General features: G+C 40.7%; 4 annotated features.

Annotated features, from left to right (window-relative positions):
• Positions 13,636 to 13,930: a silencer, noted in NCBI's record as "tiled region #543; HepG2 Repressive non-DNase unmatched - State 7:EnhWF". NCBI's record gives its function as "represses a minimal TATA promoter and a strong SV40 promoter by Sharpr-MPRA in HepG2 cells {active_cell/tissue: HepG2}" and the evidence as "EXISTENCE:reporter gene assay evidence [ECO:0000049][PMID:27701403]".
• Positions 14,156 to 14,450: a silencer, noted in NCBI's record as "tiled region #601; K562 Repressive non-DNase unmatched - State 24:Quies". NCBI's record gives its function as "represses a minimal TATA promoter and a strong SV40 promoter by Sharpr-MPRA in K562 cells {active_cell/tissue: K562}" and the evidence as "EXISTENCE:reporter gene assay evidence [ECO:0000049][PMID:27701403]".
• Positions 15,986 to 16,513: an enhancer, noted in NCBI's record as "OCT4-NANOG-H3K27ac-H3K4me1 hESC enhancer chr4:88842859-88843386 (GRCh37/hg19 assembly coordinates)". NCBI's record gives its function as "activates a minimal SCP1, AML or CMV promoter by ChIP-STARR-seq in naive and primed H9 embryonic stem cells {active_cell/tissue: H9 hESC(naive and primed)}" and the evidence as "EXISTENCE:reporter gene assay evidence [ECO:0000049][PMID:30033119]".
• Positions 16,514 to 17,040: an enhancer, noted in NCBI's record as "OCT4-NANOG-H3K27ac-H3K4me1 hESC enhancer chr4:88843387-88843913 (GRCh37/hg19 assembly coordinates)". NCBI's record gives its function as "activates a minimal SCP1, AML or CMV promoter by ChIP-STARR-seq in naive H9 embryonic stem cells {active_cell/tissue: H9 hESC(naive)}" and the evidence as "EXISTENCE:reporter gene assay evidence [ECO:0000049][PMID:30033119]".

A 19,189-nucleotide genomic window follows, 5' to 3' on the forward strand; every position in this document is an offset into this window, starting at 1 on the left:
ACCATGTTGGCCAGGCTGGCCTCGAACTCAAGTGATCCTCTGGCCTTGGCCTCCCAAAGTGCTGGGATTACAGGCATAAGCCACCATGCCTGGCATTTAAGCCATTTTTAATATCAAATTAAATATTTAATTTAAATATTATGAGTATAAAAACTTGCCATCAAAGAGGATATTCAAAGAATGAGAAACAGCTTTGACTGCAATTGAAAAGAGAAGTTTCAGCCATGTTTTAAACACTATTAACCTAATTTAAATGAATGCATAGTCTTCCCTGAAGACTGATTCAAACGGGAAAGTCATCATTTTAAAGGTCTACATTTTGGCTCATTGCAGACTTGACCTCCTGGACTCAGGTGATTCTCCAGCCTCAGTCTCCCAAGTAGCTGGTACTACAGGTGCATGCCACCATAGCAGCTAATTCTTATATTTTTTGTAGAGACAGGGTTTGCCATGTTTCCCAGACTGGTCTTGAACTCCTGGGCTCAAGTGAGCTGCCTGCCTCATTCTTCCAAAGTGCCGGGAAGGACCAGCCACTGTGCCTGGTCCTTTTGCAGAATGCTGATGCTGGCTTTATTTTTTTTAATGCTGAGAAGAAACAATCTCCTGAATGAGTTTTATACAGAAACACAAGCAATATAGCACTTTGCAATCAGACAGAATTTTTTATTCCCAGATGTTCATAACATTTAAAGATGGTTATCAGGTAATCAATGCAAAATGTTTGTTGAGAAGTTTTTATTCCAAAGAATAAAACTGTGCTTAAAGAGCTTTACTCAGTGTCAAAGCACCTTTATTCAGGGTGGCAGAATGCAAATAGGTAACCTGATTCTCAAATTGAAATATATCCCTGTGCCCTTTTCCTTTAATATGACAAAGTGCCTATAGACCCATAGGGATTTGTTTACAATTATTTTTTCTCACAATTATTTATCTATAACATCTCCCTTGTGGGGACATTTACAAGATAGTTGGCAGAGAGAGAATAGAGATTGAAATATAATGCTCAAAAAATAAAATAGAAAATGTAATATTATAAATAACTAATATTCTAATGGAACAATCATATCATAGGCTCTTAATCCCATTCTGAGAAAATAAAAATATCTTTACTTCAGAAAAAATAAAAACAAATTTTTAAATATGGCACAATATTATTTTTGAAAAGAATTAGATTGAAATACTGCCATATATTGTGATGGAAAAATGTGAAGATTTTAAATGTAGAATAAAACCAAATTTGATTCTTCTCTTCTGCTCTCTCCCATCCTCTTTGCCTCTGTTCCTTCCTCTCACAACCACTGATGCCTGGGACACCCACTGGCACAGGGATACAGCCAGGAACAAGTCACACATGGTCCTTAACATCTTGACATCTTCAAAATTGCAGGAAAGACATATTAGATAACTAGCTGCAAATGTGAGGTGTATAGTGAAATGGAAATATAGTACTTCTTACACAAATGACCATAAGCAATCTTAGTTTAAGTGATTATTAAGATTGTCAGTCTCTGCACCTTACATAAAAAATAAAATCCCATCTCTATTCTGTGATGGCATCTCATGGCTGCCAGTCATATCTAGAAAATTTCCCCCAGGTATGAATAGAGCAATGATAGGCTCTACTGGCATGACTGCCAGTTCTGTTTAGCAAAAATTTTCACTATTTTTCAATGTTTATTCGTTTAACAGCCAAACTGATTCTTTTCCTGTCCTAAACAGAAATATTTAAACTTTGCTAACTTTCTTTGAATTTGGAACTGTCAACATATGCTTTTATTCTAAGATATTTCAAGTCAAAAAAAAAAAAAAAAAACGTGGTAGGATGAGGTGCTGGTATACAGTCTATGATCCCCCATATGAGTGTGCTAGAGCTATCACCAAAAGTGCCACAAATTGGATAATGACTAAATAACAGAAATATCTGTCTCTCAATTCTGGAGGCTAGAAGTCCAAACTCAAGAGTCGGCAGGGTCATACTCCCTCAGAAACCTGCAGAGGAAGCATCTTCCCCTGGCTTTTCCTAGACTCCAGTGGTTCTCTGGCAATGTTTGGTGCCCCTTGGCTTAGAGGTGCATCATTCCCATCCTCCAAGTTCACAGATCATCTTCCCTCTGTGCATCAGGCTCTGTGTCCAAATTTCTCCTTTTTACAAAGACACTAGTCGTATTAGATTAGGGCTATTCTTAGTGACCTCGTTTTACATTGATTACCTCTGGGTAAAGACTCTATTTCCATGCCGGGTGCAGTGGCTCATGCATGTAATCCTGGCACTTTGGGATGCTGAGGCGGGCGGATCACCTGAGGTTGGGAGTTTGAGACCAGCCTGACCATCATGGAGAAACCCCATCTCTACTAAAAATACAAAATTAGCCAGGCGTGGTAGATATACCTGTAATCCCAGCTACTTGGGAGACTGAGGCAGTAGAATTGCTCAGACCCTGGAGGTGGAGGTTGCAGTGAGCCAAAATCGTGCCATTGCACTCCAGCCTGGGTAAGAAGAGCAAAACTCTGTCTCAAAACAAAAACAAACAAGACCCTATTTCCAAATAAGGGCACATTCTGCAATACTTCAACCAACAATTCTACCTCTAACAGCCCCAAGCAAAAAGGCACATTCTTTATTGACACTTGTACAAAATAACTACTTACCGAACCACTCCACCCTGTACTTATAAATCATCTTTAAGGAAAGCTATGCATTATCTTATCTACTGCTATAGTTTTTCTCTGTGGTTCATGGGAAGAGTGCTAAAGAGATGAAAGAAAAATTCTTGGTCAAATTTTTCTTTAATGTGTGGAAATTTTTATCACTTTGAAAACAACCTGACAACAGTGGAAAATTCATAAAGGAGCCTTGGTATGTCACCAAACTGGATTTTTATTCTCATCATGACCAAAGATGTGCCTTATGCCTTTATATCCAAGTGACTTCAGCAACTAGATGTGATGAGAAAGACATGATAAGGCATTGGGAAATGTAAAGTCAGCTCTACTATGAGGAAGAACAATAGTAAATAGTTGAATTCAACAAATATTGATTAAGCACAACTATGTGCAGATCCTGTACTAGGTTGTGAGGACACAAAGTTGAATGTAACGTGGTCCTGGTTTTCAGAAGCTTATCTCCCTAAATGAAGAAATAAGATAAATATAAAAATATCTACAATACAGGATATTTTTATTCCAGTGGAGGAAAAGGGAAAAGTAGAACCTTGAAATAGAAGTGTGTTTCCAAAAGTCAAAAATGAAATAATGGTGACTAGAATACCTGTTTTTAGTATTCTATGGTATTTTTAAGTACAGAAATCGTGGTATTTTTGTGATGTAATACCATAACTTAGACGGGGTCTTGCTCACACTCCCTAGCCTCAAGGAAGCCTCCCACCTCGGCTTTCCAAAGTGCTGGGATTACAGGTGTGAGCCATCACGTTTGGCCTGTAACTTAGGCTTTTAAAATGTAATTTTAATCTTTCACATCTTCAGAGGTGCCCGATGATTATCAGTGGCATTCAATTTTTGAATGGAACAAAGATGCACTCATTTGAAAGCATTTCATTCCTCTGTAATCCTGAAAGCTAACCCATCGTTCCCACCCACAGCCTGTATACACACTGCTCCTCCTGTATTCCCATCTCTGCATTGACAGCCCCATCCTCCAAGGCACCCAAATGAAAATTTCAACCTTTTCTTTGCCTCACTTGGTGGACACCAAGTCCTGTATAATCCACCTCCTAAGAATCTCTAGAAACTGCCCCGTTTTTCGTCCCCTTTGGCCATCAGGAGTCCTATCTTTTCTTGCCTGGACAATGTAATCATTCCAATCAATCAAATCTAAGTGGATTTATCTGCTTCTTTGAATCTACTTCCTCCTCACAATTATCTACTTTCCCATCCTGTTACCAAAAAGACTTTTCCAAAATGAAATATAATCACATTATGGCCCTGCTTTAAAGCATTGAGTATGTCTTCATTGTCTTCAATATGGAGGAAAAACTCTTTCACAGCCCAGCCTCTACCTTTCTCCGGAGCTTCCTCTCCTACTGTGTTTCCATGCATGCTTCACTGCAGACACCCTGACTGCCTGTGGTATCCTGAACATCCCTTGCCCTCTTACAGGTTTTGTCATGCTAGCCTCCTGCCTAGATTGCCCTTCCCCACATTCCCTCCTGTATTCATCTCCTGTTGCTGCTGACACAAATCACTGCAAGCTTAGTGGCTTAAAACAGCACTTACGGCCAGGCGCTGTGGCTCATGCCTGTAATCCTAGCACTTTGGGAGGCTGAGGCAGGTGGATCATGAGGTCAGAAGATCAAGACCATCCTGGCTAACAAGGTGAAACCCCGTCTCTACTAGAAGTGCAAGAAATCAGCAGGGCGTGGTGGCGGGCGCCTGTAGTCCCAGCGACTCAGGAGGCTGAGGCAGGAGAATGGAGATCACACCACTGCACTCCAGCCTGGGCGACAGAGCGAGACTCCATCTCAAAAAAAAAAAAAAAAAAAAAAAAAACCCAGCAACTCACTTATTTTCTTACCATCTACAGGCCAGAAACCAGAAATCAGTTTCACTCAGCTAAAGTCAAGGTGTTCCAAGGCCAGCTCCTTCTGGCTGCTCTGGGGGAGAATCTATTTCCTTGCCTTTCCTACCTTCTGGAGACCACGGGCATTCCAGGGCTGGTGACCCCTTCCTCTGACCTCCTGCTTCCATTGTCACCTCTTCCACTGTCTGCTTCTCTGTTAGCAGGATTATCTCCTTTTTATAAGAACATTTATGTTTACAGAGAAGCCCACCCAGATAATCCAGAACACTCTGTCTCAAGATCTTAATTTAATCACATTTGCAAAATCCCTTTTGCGATATAAGATAACATTCACAGGCTCTAATGATTAGTCCCTGCTTATTTTCGGGAGCCATTATTCTGCCTAGCATACCTATCTTTTTCTACCTCAGCCTTTCAGATGCAGCTTAAACATTTCTTCTTTTCTGGGAAATTTTCTAACATCCTATTCCCTCCCCAATCCCATTACTTCCTCCAGCAATTCCCACTGAGTACCTCACTAATACAACTGTCTGGGTTTGCTTGGGACTAAGGGGGTTCCCAGAACACAAGACTTTCAGTGTTAAAACCAGAAAACTGCCAGACAAACCAGGATGAGTTAGTTACCCTAAGTCCTCACCTTTCTTTCCACATCACCCTCTTTGTAGCACTCAGCACGTGGGATTGTAAGTTAGAATTCTCAGTTCTCTTGCCTTTCTCCTCTGCAAGGCTATGGGTGGGAATGTTTCTTTTGTGTTTCTGATGCTCATGCCTTCGTTTCTGGCATGTGGCAGATGCTCCGTAAAGTGAATGGAGTTTGTGGAGCAGCCCTGCAACAGCAGACAATCTAGGCAAAGTGGAAATTTTCCGCCCTGTGACTAGAACAAAAAACCAAAATGAAACAGAACATTAAACACCGGTATGATGTGCTATGTTCTCTTGGGCACTTTTTTCTTTGATTTTCTCATCTATACTTGCAAATTTGAGTAAAATTAGACACAGTTCTTTGCAAGAACCCAAATATTCGCAGTCCTTGACAGAACACACTGTCTTCAAACAAACAGAGGCTCTACTATTTATAGCTGATTGCTTCACCGCTTGTCTTGCCTGTTTTTTAGAATGCCCTTTGCCACGAACAAAGCAGATTGAAAATAGATGTGGGGCCAGGTTCTGGGAGTCTTCTAACATTTCTTTATTCTCTTAAACACTGATAAAATTGACCCATTCTTGGAATTTGCCTCCTGAATGCTGCAGCAGCTGGAGCACCAGACATGTGACTCTCTTTGATATCACTTCTGTCTGTGTGCCCTCCAGCCAACTTTGTTTACCTCTACAAAAGTGCCCTTGAACAAAGGTGCCCTGCAACTTAGAGTTAATGGAAAAGCAACTGAGGTAAACATTAAAAAGTGAGACTCAGACAAAGACATCATTTAACCAGAGCCATCGATTCCACAGTCCCAGTTCAGAGAAAAATCATTTCTATTGTTGAGTAGGGAATAAATTTATGCCCAAAAGCCAAGTGTGCCTATAATGCTTATGAACAACCACATGAATGGAAACCCTGGACAGAATGAGGGACCAGAAGGAATTAAATTCACATCTTCTGTCGCCCACATTTAAAAAGAGAGAAACTAGGAAATTGAAACCTATTTATGTTATGCATCTGCAAAAACAGAAGCTGTGTAAGAAGTTACTCCTAATGAATGAGAAAATAAAACGTGAAACTTTAAAATGAGAATCAATTATATTTTATCAGTATATTTCCAGATCTTTAATAATGAGCTATGCCTTCCATACAGAATTGAATCACATCAATCAAAGTGAAGAACTCAGCACAAAAGCAATTAGAGGGAAATATTTGGAAGACTACAAAAACATAGTGTTGTAGATAAAAGTAAATATATTATTTTGGTTTGGAAAAATATTTCAAACTCTACTTAAGGTTTATAAATCCTTTCTGTAATTCATGATAAAGGGGGAAGCTCTTGATTATTATCCTCAAGACATACACATATCATGTCTACGTGAATGAATCTGAAAACTGTCTGAATGAGGATAACTCCAGAGGTCACGACAGATGAATGACTCATCTACCCAAATGCAGCCACCAGAGCCCTGATTTGAACCCTGGGCATACAGCTTTTTAAACACACCCCAGCATTTGCCTGCAAATGTGTCCTCACAGCTATAATTTCACTTCCAAACTCACTAAAGAGTCATCTATCAATGCACTACTGACTGGTTTTTACACATACTGAGTTGCAAAGCAGTATTTTAAAACCAGCTATGTAAGAAAACCCATATTTCCCTAGCTTTATGTGCTCTAGAGCTATAAGGACATAAAGCTAATGGAAATAAGAAGGAAAAGCAAACGTCCCCTTCCTCCTTCCATCGGATCTGGCTTTCTGGTCACCGTGTTTTATCAGATTAAAATGTAAAATGAGACTAGTAAAGCTGATTTAAATAATCTCTCTCTATCTAACCATGAGAAAAATTGGAAGGCCCAACTAAGGTCGTGTTAAATGTTAACCTCTGCCAGGAATTGAGGCTGAAGTTTCACCAGCAGAACAGGAAGTTGCATTCTATAACTGCAGTCAACTTGCCTCTATTGTCTTTACAGAGCACCAGATAACGTTAAAAATTCAAAATTGCTAAAACACCACAAATAACTTCTTTCTCTGTCTTCATGACATATTTTATGTTTTCTTTTTATTTTTTGTCTTTCTGACCCTCTAACTAAGTTGATATTTTACTTCTCGAGTCCCTAAGACCTTACTTTATAGCTTCAGAATTTTAGAGTCAGAAGGGGTCATAATCTAAGGTTCCTGAGAAGGCTATAACCTTAGGGGGTGAAAAAGAGAGAAAATATATTTAAATAAGTTTTGTTATCTGATAAACTTACTGACTTGTTTTCCCTTTTATCACAGACTGGATAGAACTTTGTCTAAAATGAACACTGATCCACAGACTATAGCTTGGGAACCCCTGATCTAATTTCATCCCCTAACTGTCAGCTAAAGAAATTAAAACTCAGGGTCACTTGGCCAAGATCACAGAGTTCATTGCTTTTGAAGGGAGCCAGGCTTTAGACACTCAAGTCTCTTGACTGTGTAGTGTGTATTCTATCATACAGGCACCACCCCCCGCCAACTCCCTACCCACAAATAAAGCTAATGCTACCATTTTTATATACCACTCATGGTAATCTGCAAAATTAAGTGAAATTATAATGTATTTTAAGCCAAACATATAATTTGATTATAAAAATTAAGACTTTATTCTAGACCTATAATTATAAAATTAAAATTATAATTCCATAATTTTATAAATTCTCATGTTCACAAACAATGTAACAATGTCATGCAATGGAATAATTTCATCCAAATTGCAGATGATGCCAAATTAATGCTTTACAACTATTTTATTATGAAGTTAATTAAAAAGCATTATATAAAACTATGTGGACATAATTATCTCAAAAATGAAAAGGAATATTAAAATATATGTCTAGTTAAAAGATTTAAAGATAATATTCCAAAATAACAATGGTTATGTCTGATAGTAATATTCTGGATACTTTTTTTCTTTTGAATGTTTCTATAATTTCACTCTTTTTAAAAATATTCATCTTTTCTTTTGTAATGATAAGAATCGACTACATTTTTAAGTCCAAAGAATAAAAATAAATCCAATATCGTGTTTGTGTATGTTATGCCAACATGCTTTTTTTTTTTTTTAAGTAACACAGACGTGTTCATTCAAATAAGTTGACATTTTCATCTTGGTTAGCTGGTTTGATGAAAGTCCAAATCACATGCCAATGAGTAAACTCACTAGCCCATATGACCCAGCTCTGAAAAAGAAAGGCATATAATTTTGTTTCACAAACATTGAGAAGCAGCAACTTTTGGGGTGGGAGGGGTGCTAGAAACATCCTTTGACCAACATTTATGTGAAATGCATGTGCCAGAAATTATAATGACAGAAAAAGGAATTTGATGTCAAACATTTTAGTAAATTACAATATGTACTCTAGAAACACTTCCACTAGAAGGAAAACATCCATTTGACTGAATGTGTAATTTCTATTTTTATAATACAATGTAGGCAGATTACTACAAAAAGTGTATGCAACCATGTGAAGTTTAAAGCTTAAATATAAATAATTAGTATCTAGCTTGTTTATGGGTTAATAAAACTTTAGAAATCAATTAGAGAAATCATACATTTAATTTCACTTTCGACAATTAAATATGTTAAATTTTTTAAAAAGCTAAAACAAAATTTTGCAAGGATAAAAATGAAATTAATACTGTCAAATTCTTTTCTGGCTTCATCTGATATTAAACATTAAACAGATGCCTGGCCTGTTTAAAAAAAAAAAAAAATCTTGGATCACAGAAATAAATAGCCTCTGAGAGAATTAAATGGGTTTTTAAAAATGTATTATTCATTTTAACTTTTATGTCAAAATCATTAAAAAACATATACAGGACATAATAATAGATAAGGGTGACAACAATTGAGATTATAGATGGTCTCTAATTTATGAAGGTTCAACTTAGATTTTTCTACTTTACAATGGTGCCAAAACCATATGCCTTCAGTACACTCCTCAACTTATGATGTGGTTACCTCTGGATAAACCCATTGTAAGTGGAAAATACCATAAGTTGAACTTTACTTACAATATTTCCCACTTACAAGGGGGTTATCGAGATATAACCCCCTTGTAAGTGGAGGAGTATCTGTATTTGAAGGCAAGCTTCAAAAATCCAACTCAAATTGGCTTGAAGAAAATGAGAATTCATCACTTCATATAAATGAAGCAGCAAGGGGTTCTGGCTTCAGGTGTGGCTGGATCTGAGAACCCATAACAGATCTCTAGGACCTGGTCTCTTTCCATCTCCTGAATCTGCTCTTCTCTGCTTTAATTCTGTTACTTATTGTTCCTAAATGCAAACAACAGAAACCAACTATGGATAGTTTAAGCAGAAAACTAAATTTACTGAAATATTTTAGCTAGCTCACACTACCTTTGGAAAGATTTGAGAATGAAATTCGGGAACTTGTATCCAGTAACTCAACTGCAAATCAGGTTAAAAACCAACTCACTGGAGATACCATTGCCAGTATAACTGGTCCCAACAGTTCTAGTTTCAGGCACTGGATGCTCCTGCTAGAATCATTGCTATTTGTGCTTCTAGAAATGGGATAAAGCTGCTACTGCCTCCTGAGAATAAAGTCCTTATTTACCTCATTGGCTTCTGATTAAAAGTCTGACAAGAGTGGGTCTGATAGCAAATCCTAGAACACACATATACTGGAGTAAGAAAGACTCAAAGGTAAGAATCTAGCTTTTACAAAGATGTTCTCATCAGTTGGGGAATTCATCAACATAGGAAAGTTGTTCGAAGGTGCTCAGTGGCCAAAAAGAATAACAAATATATGCCACGGATTTTTCCTTAGGCATTATATGCTGCCAAATGGCTACCAGCAGCTCCAAAAGCCCCCCAGGTCCAACTCGTACAATGAGCGCATCTGTGCTTCTTCCTGCTGACCTGGCAAAACACTCGTTCCCCACTGGCTCTGACAACGTTTCATGCCCAAGTCTGAACAAATCACATGGTCAGGGGAATGTATGCCTTTGACTGGCCAGCACTGAATCACATGCCCACTCCTGGAGATGGAGACAGTGTTATCCCTACTTGAAGCATTTGAAGTACTTATTCTGAGAGCAGAGAATACAGCCCTCCAGAGAGAAACTGCTAGATAGTTTCCAAAAGAATGAATGGAAGAAAGAATAGGAGATGAGGAGGTGGGTAAAGGCAACAAATGTTTTTTACAAATATTTTGATATCCAACTTAACTTCTCAGTTCAACCAAGAAACGGAATCAAGTTTCTGGTCAGACCATGTGTTCTGATTTGGATGATCTTTGATTTGGTCATTCTAATAAAAATAATTGCAATAATAGTACTAAGAATGACACTTGTATGGTGCTAGGTTTCTCTAAGTTACATACATATAAGTTATATATATAGATAAAGTTATATATATAACTTAATTATGTTCTAACTAAATATATGTGTGTGTATATATATGTGTGTATATATGTATGTATACATATATATATATAAAATCTTCACAACCTTATGCTATATATTATTACCATCATTTTATAGATGAAAGGACTGAGACCCAGGATGTTAAATAATTTGATCAAGATCAGATCATTGGTTGAGTAGAGTAACTGGTATTTGAACCCAGGCAGTCTGACTTGAATCCATTCTCTTAACTATATAGTATAAATTCCAAAGAGAGTACATTACCTGTCACTGGTGATCTTTAAGAAGAATCTAGGTAATCGCTAAAGGGAGTTGTGAAAGATATTTTTCTATTTAAATCAAGATTGATGATATTTCTCTCCTCTCAGTTGGCTGAATGCAGAGAAGTGCCTTATGGAGAACCTACAATTACTCCCTGTGGCCCAGCAGTGTGGGTTCTGCTATCCGGGGGCAGGTCAGGCTGGGGGGACTGTATGACTCATGTTTCCCAGGCTGGCCCATGTGCTAATATGCTCTAGCTTCCTTCAAGGAAAGCTACTTCTGGATGTTTGTGGCCTGTCTGGGTGTTCGCAGTTATCCCCCACTCCAAAAATTCCCCTAGAATGCCTAAGCATTGGCCAGTGAATCCTCATCTCCACATTTCCAAGCAGCTTCTGTAGTCTGGGGCTGCTCAAAGATCTGCTGTGCATAGATAAAAAGGCTTTGCTAATCTGGTTGACCAGCCTCTCATTCCCCTCTCCTACATCCACGTGATGGCAAAGGAGGAGCCACAAATCCTTCCCAAACCTTGTACACAAATCTGTTAGTAACAATACAAATTGCACTTGAATGACAATCTACTACCAATTACATTAAACTGTCAGTTTCCACATTCACCTGTAGCAATTTTTACTTTTTCTGAACCATTCTCGTCATGTCAAATATTGAACCTGTGAGAGTAAAGTTATGTCCATATGCACTATGAGACGGGCATTGCTGACCTCTACCCAACAAATCATTGCACCTGCTTCTTCCAGCTGACAGAGCCCTGTTCTTGGGACAGGAACTGAAAATGTCAGATTCAGTTGTTTCAGCTATAAGTCCATTACTGGAAATCCTTGTTTTTTTGCAAAATTAGGCCCTAAAAATAACAGAGCTTATAGGAAAAAGAAGGGGTTGGGGGTTAAAGTAGACCTAAAAAAAAATAGTGGGTATTTCAGAATATAACTTGGACAACCCCAGGCAGGTAGTTAAGATAGCTAGAGCTACTCAGGATATAATAAAATGCATTAAAACAACATGGACTATTCATTTCTGGTTCATGTATTCACATATGGTTCATATATGTTATGCTTAAGAAGTCACTTTAAAAAGAGAAAGAAAGAAAGAACAATATGGAATGCATTCCAGAATTCTGAGACAGTGAGGCTGCTGATAGAGTCGGTATAGTGTCAGGCCTCTGAGCCCAAGCTAAGCCATTATATCCCCTGTGACCTGCACATATACATCTAGATGGCCTGAAGTAACTGAAGAATCACAAAAGAAGTGAAAATGGCCTGTTCCTGCCTTAACTGATGGCATTACCTTGTAAAATGCCTTCTCCTGGCTCATCCTGGCTCAAAAGCTCCCCTACTGAGCACCTTGTGTCCCCCACCCCTGCCCACCAGAGAACAACCCCCTTTGACTGTAATTTTCCTTTACCTACCCAAATCCTATAAAACGGCCCCACCCCTATCTCTCTTCGCTGACTCTCTTTTCAGACTCAGCCCACCTGCACTCAGGTGAAGTAAACAGCCTTGTTGTTCACACAAATCCTGTTTGGTGGTCTCTTCACACGGATGCAAGTGAAATATAGGAGGAAGTGCAACCCGCCACAGGCTTAGAGTTGTATGAGACTCAGGAGTAACAGGTGCCCTCACATAAGGGAGTGTCGGGAATAAGCATTCATTTTAAATTTTCTTTCACAAAGTTAAAAAAGTTTCCTGCCTGTACAGCTAAAGGCTTTTACTTTTCCTGCTAAACGTTATTATTAATTCTCTCTCCTGCTAGGCTGCTATATTCTGCTTTTTTGCTACACCAACACAACTTCCAGAGTATATCGACATAATTCCCCTATTTATCAATGCATGTCTGTGTACTAATTCATTTTCTGGAAATGGATGTGGCAGAACAGACTGTACCCCCTCTCCAAGCCTGCCTGCAGCAGGCAATGGCCATGTGACTTGGTTCTGACCAATGAAATAAATATAGGGAGACTGCTGAGAAAGCCTCAAGAAGAACCTCTTCCTTTCCTATTTTACATTTTGTCATATGAGGATATAATACTTGGAGCAACTGATGCCATTGTATAGCCATGGAGAGAGATACTGCTGCCACACTGATGGTGAAGAAGAGTAGGAGGAGAAGGAGGAGGAGGAGGAGGAGGGAAGGAGGAGGTGAAAAAGAAGAAAAGAGAAGAGAGGGAAGGGAAGGGAAGGGGAGGGAAAGGGAGGGAGGGAGGGCAGGGGAGGGGAGGGGAGGGAAGGGAAGAGGGGAAAAAAGGCAAGAAAAGAGGGGCCAGGTCCTTGATGACAGCATCGAGACACTGAAACAACCCTAGAACTATTTATCTCCAATTCAAACTTTTAAGCCACTTTTGGCTTTATTTTGTTTTATTTATTTTATTTTATTTTTAGAAAGACAGAACCTCACTCCATCACCCAGGCTGGAGTGCGTGATCATAACTCACTGCAGTCTTGAATTCCTGGGCTCAAGTGAGCCTCCCACCTCAGTCTCCCAACCTAGATAATTTTTTAATTTTTTGTGAAGACTGGAGTCTAGCCATGTTGCCTTGGCTGATCTTGAATTCCTGGCCTCAAGCGATCCTCCTGCCTTGGACTCCCAAAGCACTGAGATTACAGGCATGAGCCACTGTGCCAGGCAGGTCTTATTCCCTTTACCTGCAGCACGCCAATATCTCCTGCATTTCCTGTAGAGCACTATGAAAGGAAAATAAATCTTGGAATCTCAAAATAACTAAGCCAAGAGTAAAGTCAAGCTGGGAACTATGTTAGGCAGACCTGCCTCCCATTTTATTCCTAAATAAGATAGCTACAAAGATAAGAAGCTACATATCTCCCTTACAATTTGCCCACAGGAAATTCCTTGTGGACAAAGGACAGACAGAGCTCAAAATCATCCCTGTGAGGCTCACCTGAGACAAACGCATACCTGATTGCTTCCTCTGCCCTATTGTTTATGTAAAAATGCAGATTCACTAAGTCAGACTAGATTGTGCATTCAGTGGAAGGCTGATCAAGGACTCAAAAGAATGCAACCTTTTGTCTCTTATCTACTTCTAACCTGGAAGCCTTCACTTCAAGTTGTCCCACCTTCCCAGAATGAACCAATATACATCTTACACATATTGATTGATGTCTCATGTCTCCCTAAAATGTATAAAAGCAAACTGTACCCCTGGCCACCTCGGTCACATACTGTCAGGACTTCCTGAGGCTGTGTTACGGGTGTGTCCTTAACCTTGGCAAAATAAACTTTCTAAATTGACTGAGACCTGTCTCTGATATTTGGGGTTCACAGCACTCACAAATCTACTGTATTTGTTTCCTACGGGCCTGTAACAAAGTATCACAGACTGGGTGACTTAAAGAACAGAAATTTATTGTCTCACAGTTCTGGAGCCTGGAAGTCCAAGATCAAGGTGTGGGCAGGGTTAGTTCCTTCTGAGAGCTAAGAGAAAAGGATCTGTTCTAGCCTCTCTTCTTGGCTTGTAGATAGCGATCTTCTCTCTACGCCTGTTCATACCCAAATTTCCTCTTTTTGTATGAACACCAGTCATACTGCATTAGGGCCTACCCTAGTGACCTTATTTTAACTTGGTTACCTCTGTAAAGACCCTATCTCCAAATAAGGTCACATTTTGAGATACTTGGGGGAGAGGGCTTTAACATAAGAATTTGAAGGTGAGGGAGACATCATTTAACCCCAAACACCCACATAATACTCTGAGACCTGGACAAATGTATTCCCCTTTCACATACCTTTGTGAAATGTTAGTTATACAAGTCCACAATCCTTTATCTGAAGCCCTTGGGGCCAGAGGTGTTCGGGAGTTCAGAATTATCTTGATTTTTATAAAGATAATGATATTTATATATGTATATTACAGAAGAGTCTAGGGCAATACCCCATAATCAATCATATTGTAATCCAAAAATAAAATTCTAAGCCTCCCAACTGACTGAATGGATCCTTTCTCTCTGCCAAGGGCATTACGAAGTTAACCTGAAAAACTAGTTCAGACTATGATGGGAAGAGGGGACAGCCAAACATCCCTCATTATACTCTCCTCCCTTTGGAATTCAGGCACAACTGACCAGCATTAACATTAAAACAGAGATCTTAAGACTGACAAAATAGGCACTTTGTAGCAATAATATACCAAATTCCAACCTGACTCTAGTATCTCATCACATGACATATAGCAGGCCCTGAAAGAAATCTGAGTATTTTATCCCAAAATATATTTCTTTGACATATTTTGAAATGACCCTGCAAAGCTGTCTCCTACGGGAAAAATCTACATTGTATAGAGAATCCCCTTCCATTTCCAGGTCTTTTCCTGATCCAGGAGAGATTAATTAAGAGTTTGGTAACTTTTGGAGTCTAATAAGAGACATTTTCATCTATTCTTTCTGAAGGCTGCTACCTGGAGGCTTCATCTACATAGTAAGAAGCTTGGCCTCCAAAATCCCTTATCTTAACTCAGACATTCCTTTCTATTGATTCCAGTTCTTTAGCTAATAACTCTATCAACCAAGTGCTAGTCAGGAAACCTTTGAAGCTACCTATGACTTGAAAGCCTCTGCTTCAAGTTGTCCTCCCTTTCTGGACCAAGCCAACTTAGGCCTTATATATATTGATTGATGTCTGCCTGTAACTTCTGTCCCCCTAAAATGTACAAAATCAAGCTGTAATCCAACCACCTTGGGCACATGTTCTCAGGACCTCTTGAGACTGTGCCTCGGGCCTTGGTTATTCATATTTGGCTTAGAATAAATCCTTTCAAATATTTTACAAAGTTTGACTCTTTTTCATCCACAATGTTAACCTTATTGCAGTAAAACAAAGAAATATTCCCGCTACACAAGAGAAAGACTATGAAAACCTTCACAGTAATTCAGGTCAGGTTTTGCTATCAAATGAATTTTTAAAAATGTTTGTTTTCATGCTTTCATAATTTCAGAATTGTAGATAAGGGATTTTGGACCTGAATTGCCTACTCTCTGTCACTTGAAACCTTACTCAATTTCTAAGTTTGCCCAACCTTTCTTCCCTGAGCTTTTCCTCCTTCTCTCCTTTCTTCTATGACTAGTTGTTCCATTTCCTGTCTCCTTATCTTCTTTCCTTCCCAAGACTTTTAGAAGAACAGTTAATTTTTCGTTGATGCCCTTACCAATCTGCACAAGCAAATTTAAGTAGAAACATCTGTACATCCCTTATGTCAGGCCTCTGAGCCCAAGCCAAGCCATCGCGTCCCCTGTGACTTGCACGTATACACGCCCAGATGGCCTGAAGTAACTAAAGAATCACAAAAGAAGTGAATATGCCCTGCCCCACCTTAACTGATGACATTCCACCACAAAAGAAGTGTAAATGGCCGGTCCTTGCCTTAAGTGATGACATTACCTTGTGAAAGTCCTTTTCCTGGCTCATCCTGGCTCAAAAAGCACTCCCACTGAGCACCTTGCGACCCCCACTCCTACCCGCCAGAGAACAACCCCCTTTGACTGTAATTTTCCTTTACCTACCCAAATCCTATAAAACGGCCCCACCCCTATCTCCCTTCACTGACTCTCTTTTCGGACTCAGCCCACCTGCACCCAGGTGATTAAAAGCTTTATTGCTCACACAAAGCCTGTTTGGTGGTCTCTTCACACAGACGCGCATGAAATTTGGTGCCGTGACTTGGATCGGGGGACCTCCCTTGGGAGCTCAATCCCCTGTCCTCCTGTTCTTTGCTCGGTGAGAAAGATCCACCTACGACCTCAGGTCCTCAGACTGACCAGCCCAAGGAACATCTCACCAATTTTAAATCAGGTAAGCAGCCTCTTCTTACTCTCTTCTCCAACCTCTCTCACTGTCCCTCAACCACTTTCTCCTTTCCACTCTTCACTCTCCCTTCTCTTAATTTCAATTCCTTTCATTTTCTGGGAGAGACAAAGGAGACATGTTTTATCCGTGGACCGAAAACTCCGGCGCCGGTCACGGACTGGGAAGGCAGCCTTCCCTTGGTGTTTAATCAATGCAGGGACGCCTCTCTGATTATTCACCCACATTTCAAAGGTGTCAGACCACGCAGGGACGCCTGCCTTGGTCCTTCACCCTTAGCGGCAAGTCCCACTTTTCTGGGAAAGGGGCAAGTACCCCAACCCCTTCTCTCCTTGTCTCTACCCCTTCTCTGCTTTTCTGGGGGAGGGGCAAGTACCCCTCAACCCCTTCTCCTTCACCCTTAGCAGCAAGTCCCGCTTTTCTGGCGGAGGGGCAAGTACCACAACCTCATATCTCTGCGCCCCAATCCCTTATTTCCGTGCCCCAACCTCTTATATCTCTGCACCTCAACCCCTTATTTCTGTGCCCCAACCCCTTATTTCCATGCCTCGACCCCTTATTTCTGCGCCCCATCCCTTATTTCCATGCCCTGACCTCTTATCTCTGTGCCCCAACCCCTTTTCCCACTTTTCTGGAAAGTAAGAACCCCCAAACCCCTTCCCTCTGTTTCTCTACTCTCTCTTTTCTCTAGGCTTGCTTCCTTCACTATAGGCAAGCTTCCACCCTCCATTCCTCCTTCTACTCCCTTGGCCTGTGTTCTCAAAAACTTAAAACCTCTTCAACTCATACCTGACCTAAAACCTAAATGCCTTATTTTCTTCTGCAATGCCGCTTGACCCCAATACAAACTCAACAGTAGTTCCAAATAGCCAGAAAATGGCACTTTGAATTTTTCCATCCTGCAAGATCTAAATAATTCTTGTCGTAAAATAGGCAAATGGTCTGAGGTGCCTGACGTCCAGGCATTCTTTTACACATCAGCCCCTTCCTAGTCTCTGTGCCCAGTGCAACTCGTCCCAAATCTTCCTTCTTTCCCTCCCGCCTGTCCCCTCAGTATCAACCCGAAGCGTCGCTGAGTCTTTCTAATCTTCCTTTTCTACAGACCCATCTGACCTCTCCCTTCCTCCCCAGGCTGCTCCTCACCAGGCCGAGCTAGATCCCAATTCTTCCTCAGGCTCTGCTCCTCCACCCTATAATCCTTTTATCGCCTCCCCTCCTCACACCTGGTCTGGCTTACAGTTTCGTTCCGTGACTAGCCCTCCCCCTCCTGCCCAGCAATTTACTCTTAAAAAGGTGGCTGGAGCTAAAGGCATAGTCAAGGTTAATGCTCCTTTTTCTTCATCCCAAATCAGAAGCGTTTAGGCTCTTTTTCATCAAATATAAAAATCCAGCCCAGTTCATGACTTGTTTGGCAGCAACCCTGAGACGCTTTACAGCCCTAGACCCTAAAAGGTCAAAAGGCCGTCTTATTCTCAAAATACATTTTATTACCCAATCTGCTCCCAACATTAAATAAAACTCCAAAAATTAAATTCCGGCCCTCAAACCCCACAACAGGATTTAATTAACCTCGCCTTCAAGGTGTACAATAATAGAAAAAAGTTGCAATTCCTTGCCTCCACTGTGAGACAAACCCCAGCCACATCTCCAGCACACAAGAACTTCCAAACGCCTGAACCGCAGCGGCCAGGCGTTCCTCCAGAACCTCCTCCCACAGGAGCTTGCTACATGTGCCGGAAATCTGGCCACTGGGCCAAGGAATGCCCGAAGCCCGGGATTCCTCCTAAGCTGCGTCCCATCTGTGTGGGACCCCACTGAAAATCGGACTGTTCAACTCACCTGGCAGCCACTCCCAGAGCCCCTGGAACTCTGGCCCAAGGCTCTCTGACTCCTTCCCAGATCCTCTCGGCTTAGCGGCTGAAGACTGACACCGCCCGATCGCCTCGAAAGCCCCCTAGACCATCACGGACGCCGAGCTTCAGGTAACTCTCACGGTGGAAAGTAAGCCCATCCCCTTCTTAATCAATACGGAGGCTACCCACTCCACATTACCTTCTTTTCAAGGGCCTGTTTCCCTCGCCTCCATAACTGTTGTGGGTATTGACGGCCAGGCTTCTAAACCTCTTAAAACTCCCCAACTCTGGTGCCAACTTAGACAATACTCTTTTAAGCACTCCTTTTAGTTATCCCCACCTGCCCAGTTCCCTTATTAGGCTGAGACACTTTAACTAAATTATCTGCTTCCCTGACTATTCCTGGACTACAGCTGTATCTCATTGCCTCCCTTCTTCCCAATCCAAAGCCTCCTTTGCATCCTCCTCTTGTATCCCCCCACCTTAACCCACAAGTATAAGATACCTCTATTCCCTCCTTGGCGACCAATCATGCACCCCTTACCATCTCATTAAAACCAAATCACCTTTACCCCACTCAACGCCAATATCCCATCCCGCAGCAAGCTTTAAAAAGATTAAAGCCTGTTATCACTCGCCTGCTAC

This window comes from Homo sapiens, chromosome 4 (assembly GCF_000001405.40).
Source record: "Homo sapiens chromosome 4, GRCh38.p14 Primary Assembly".
Lineage (NCBI taxonomy): Eukaryota > Metazoa > Chordata > Mammalia > Primates > Hominidae > Homo > Homo sapiens.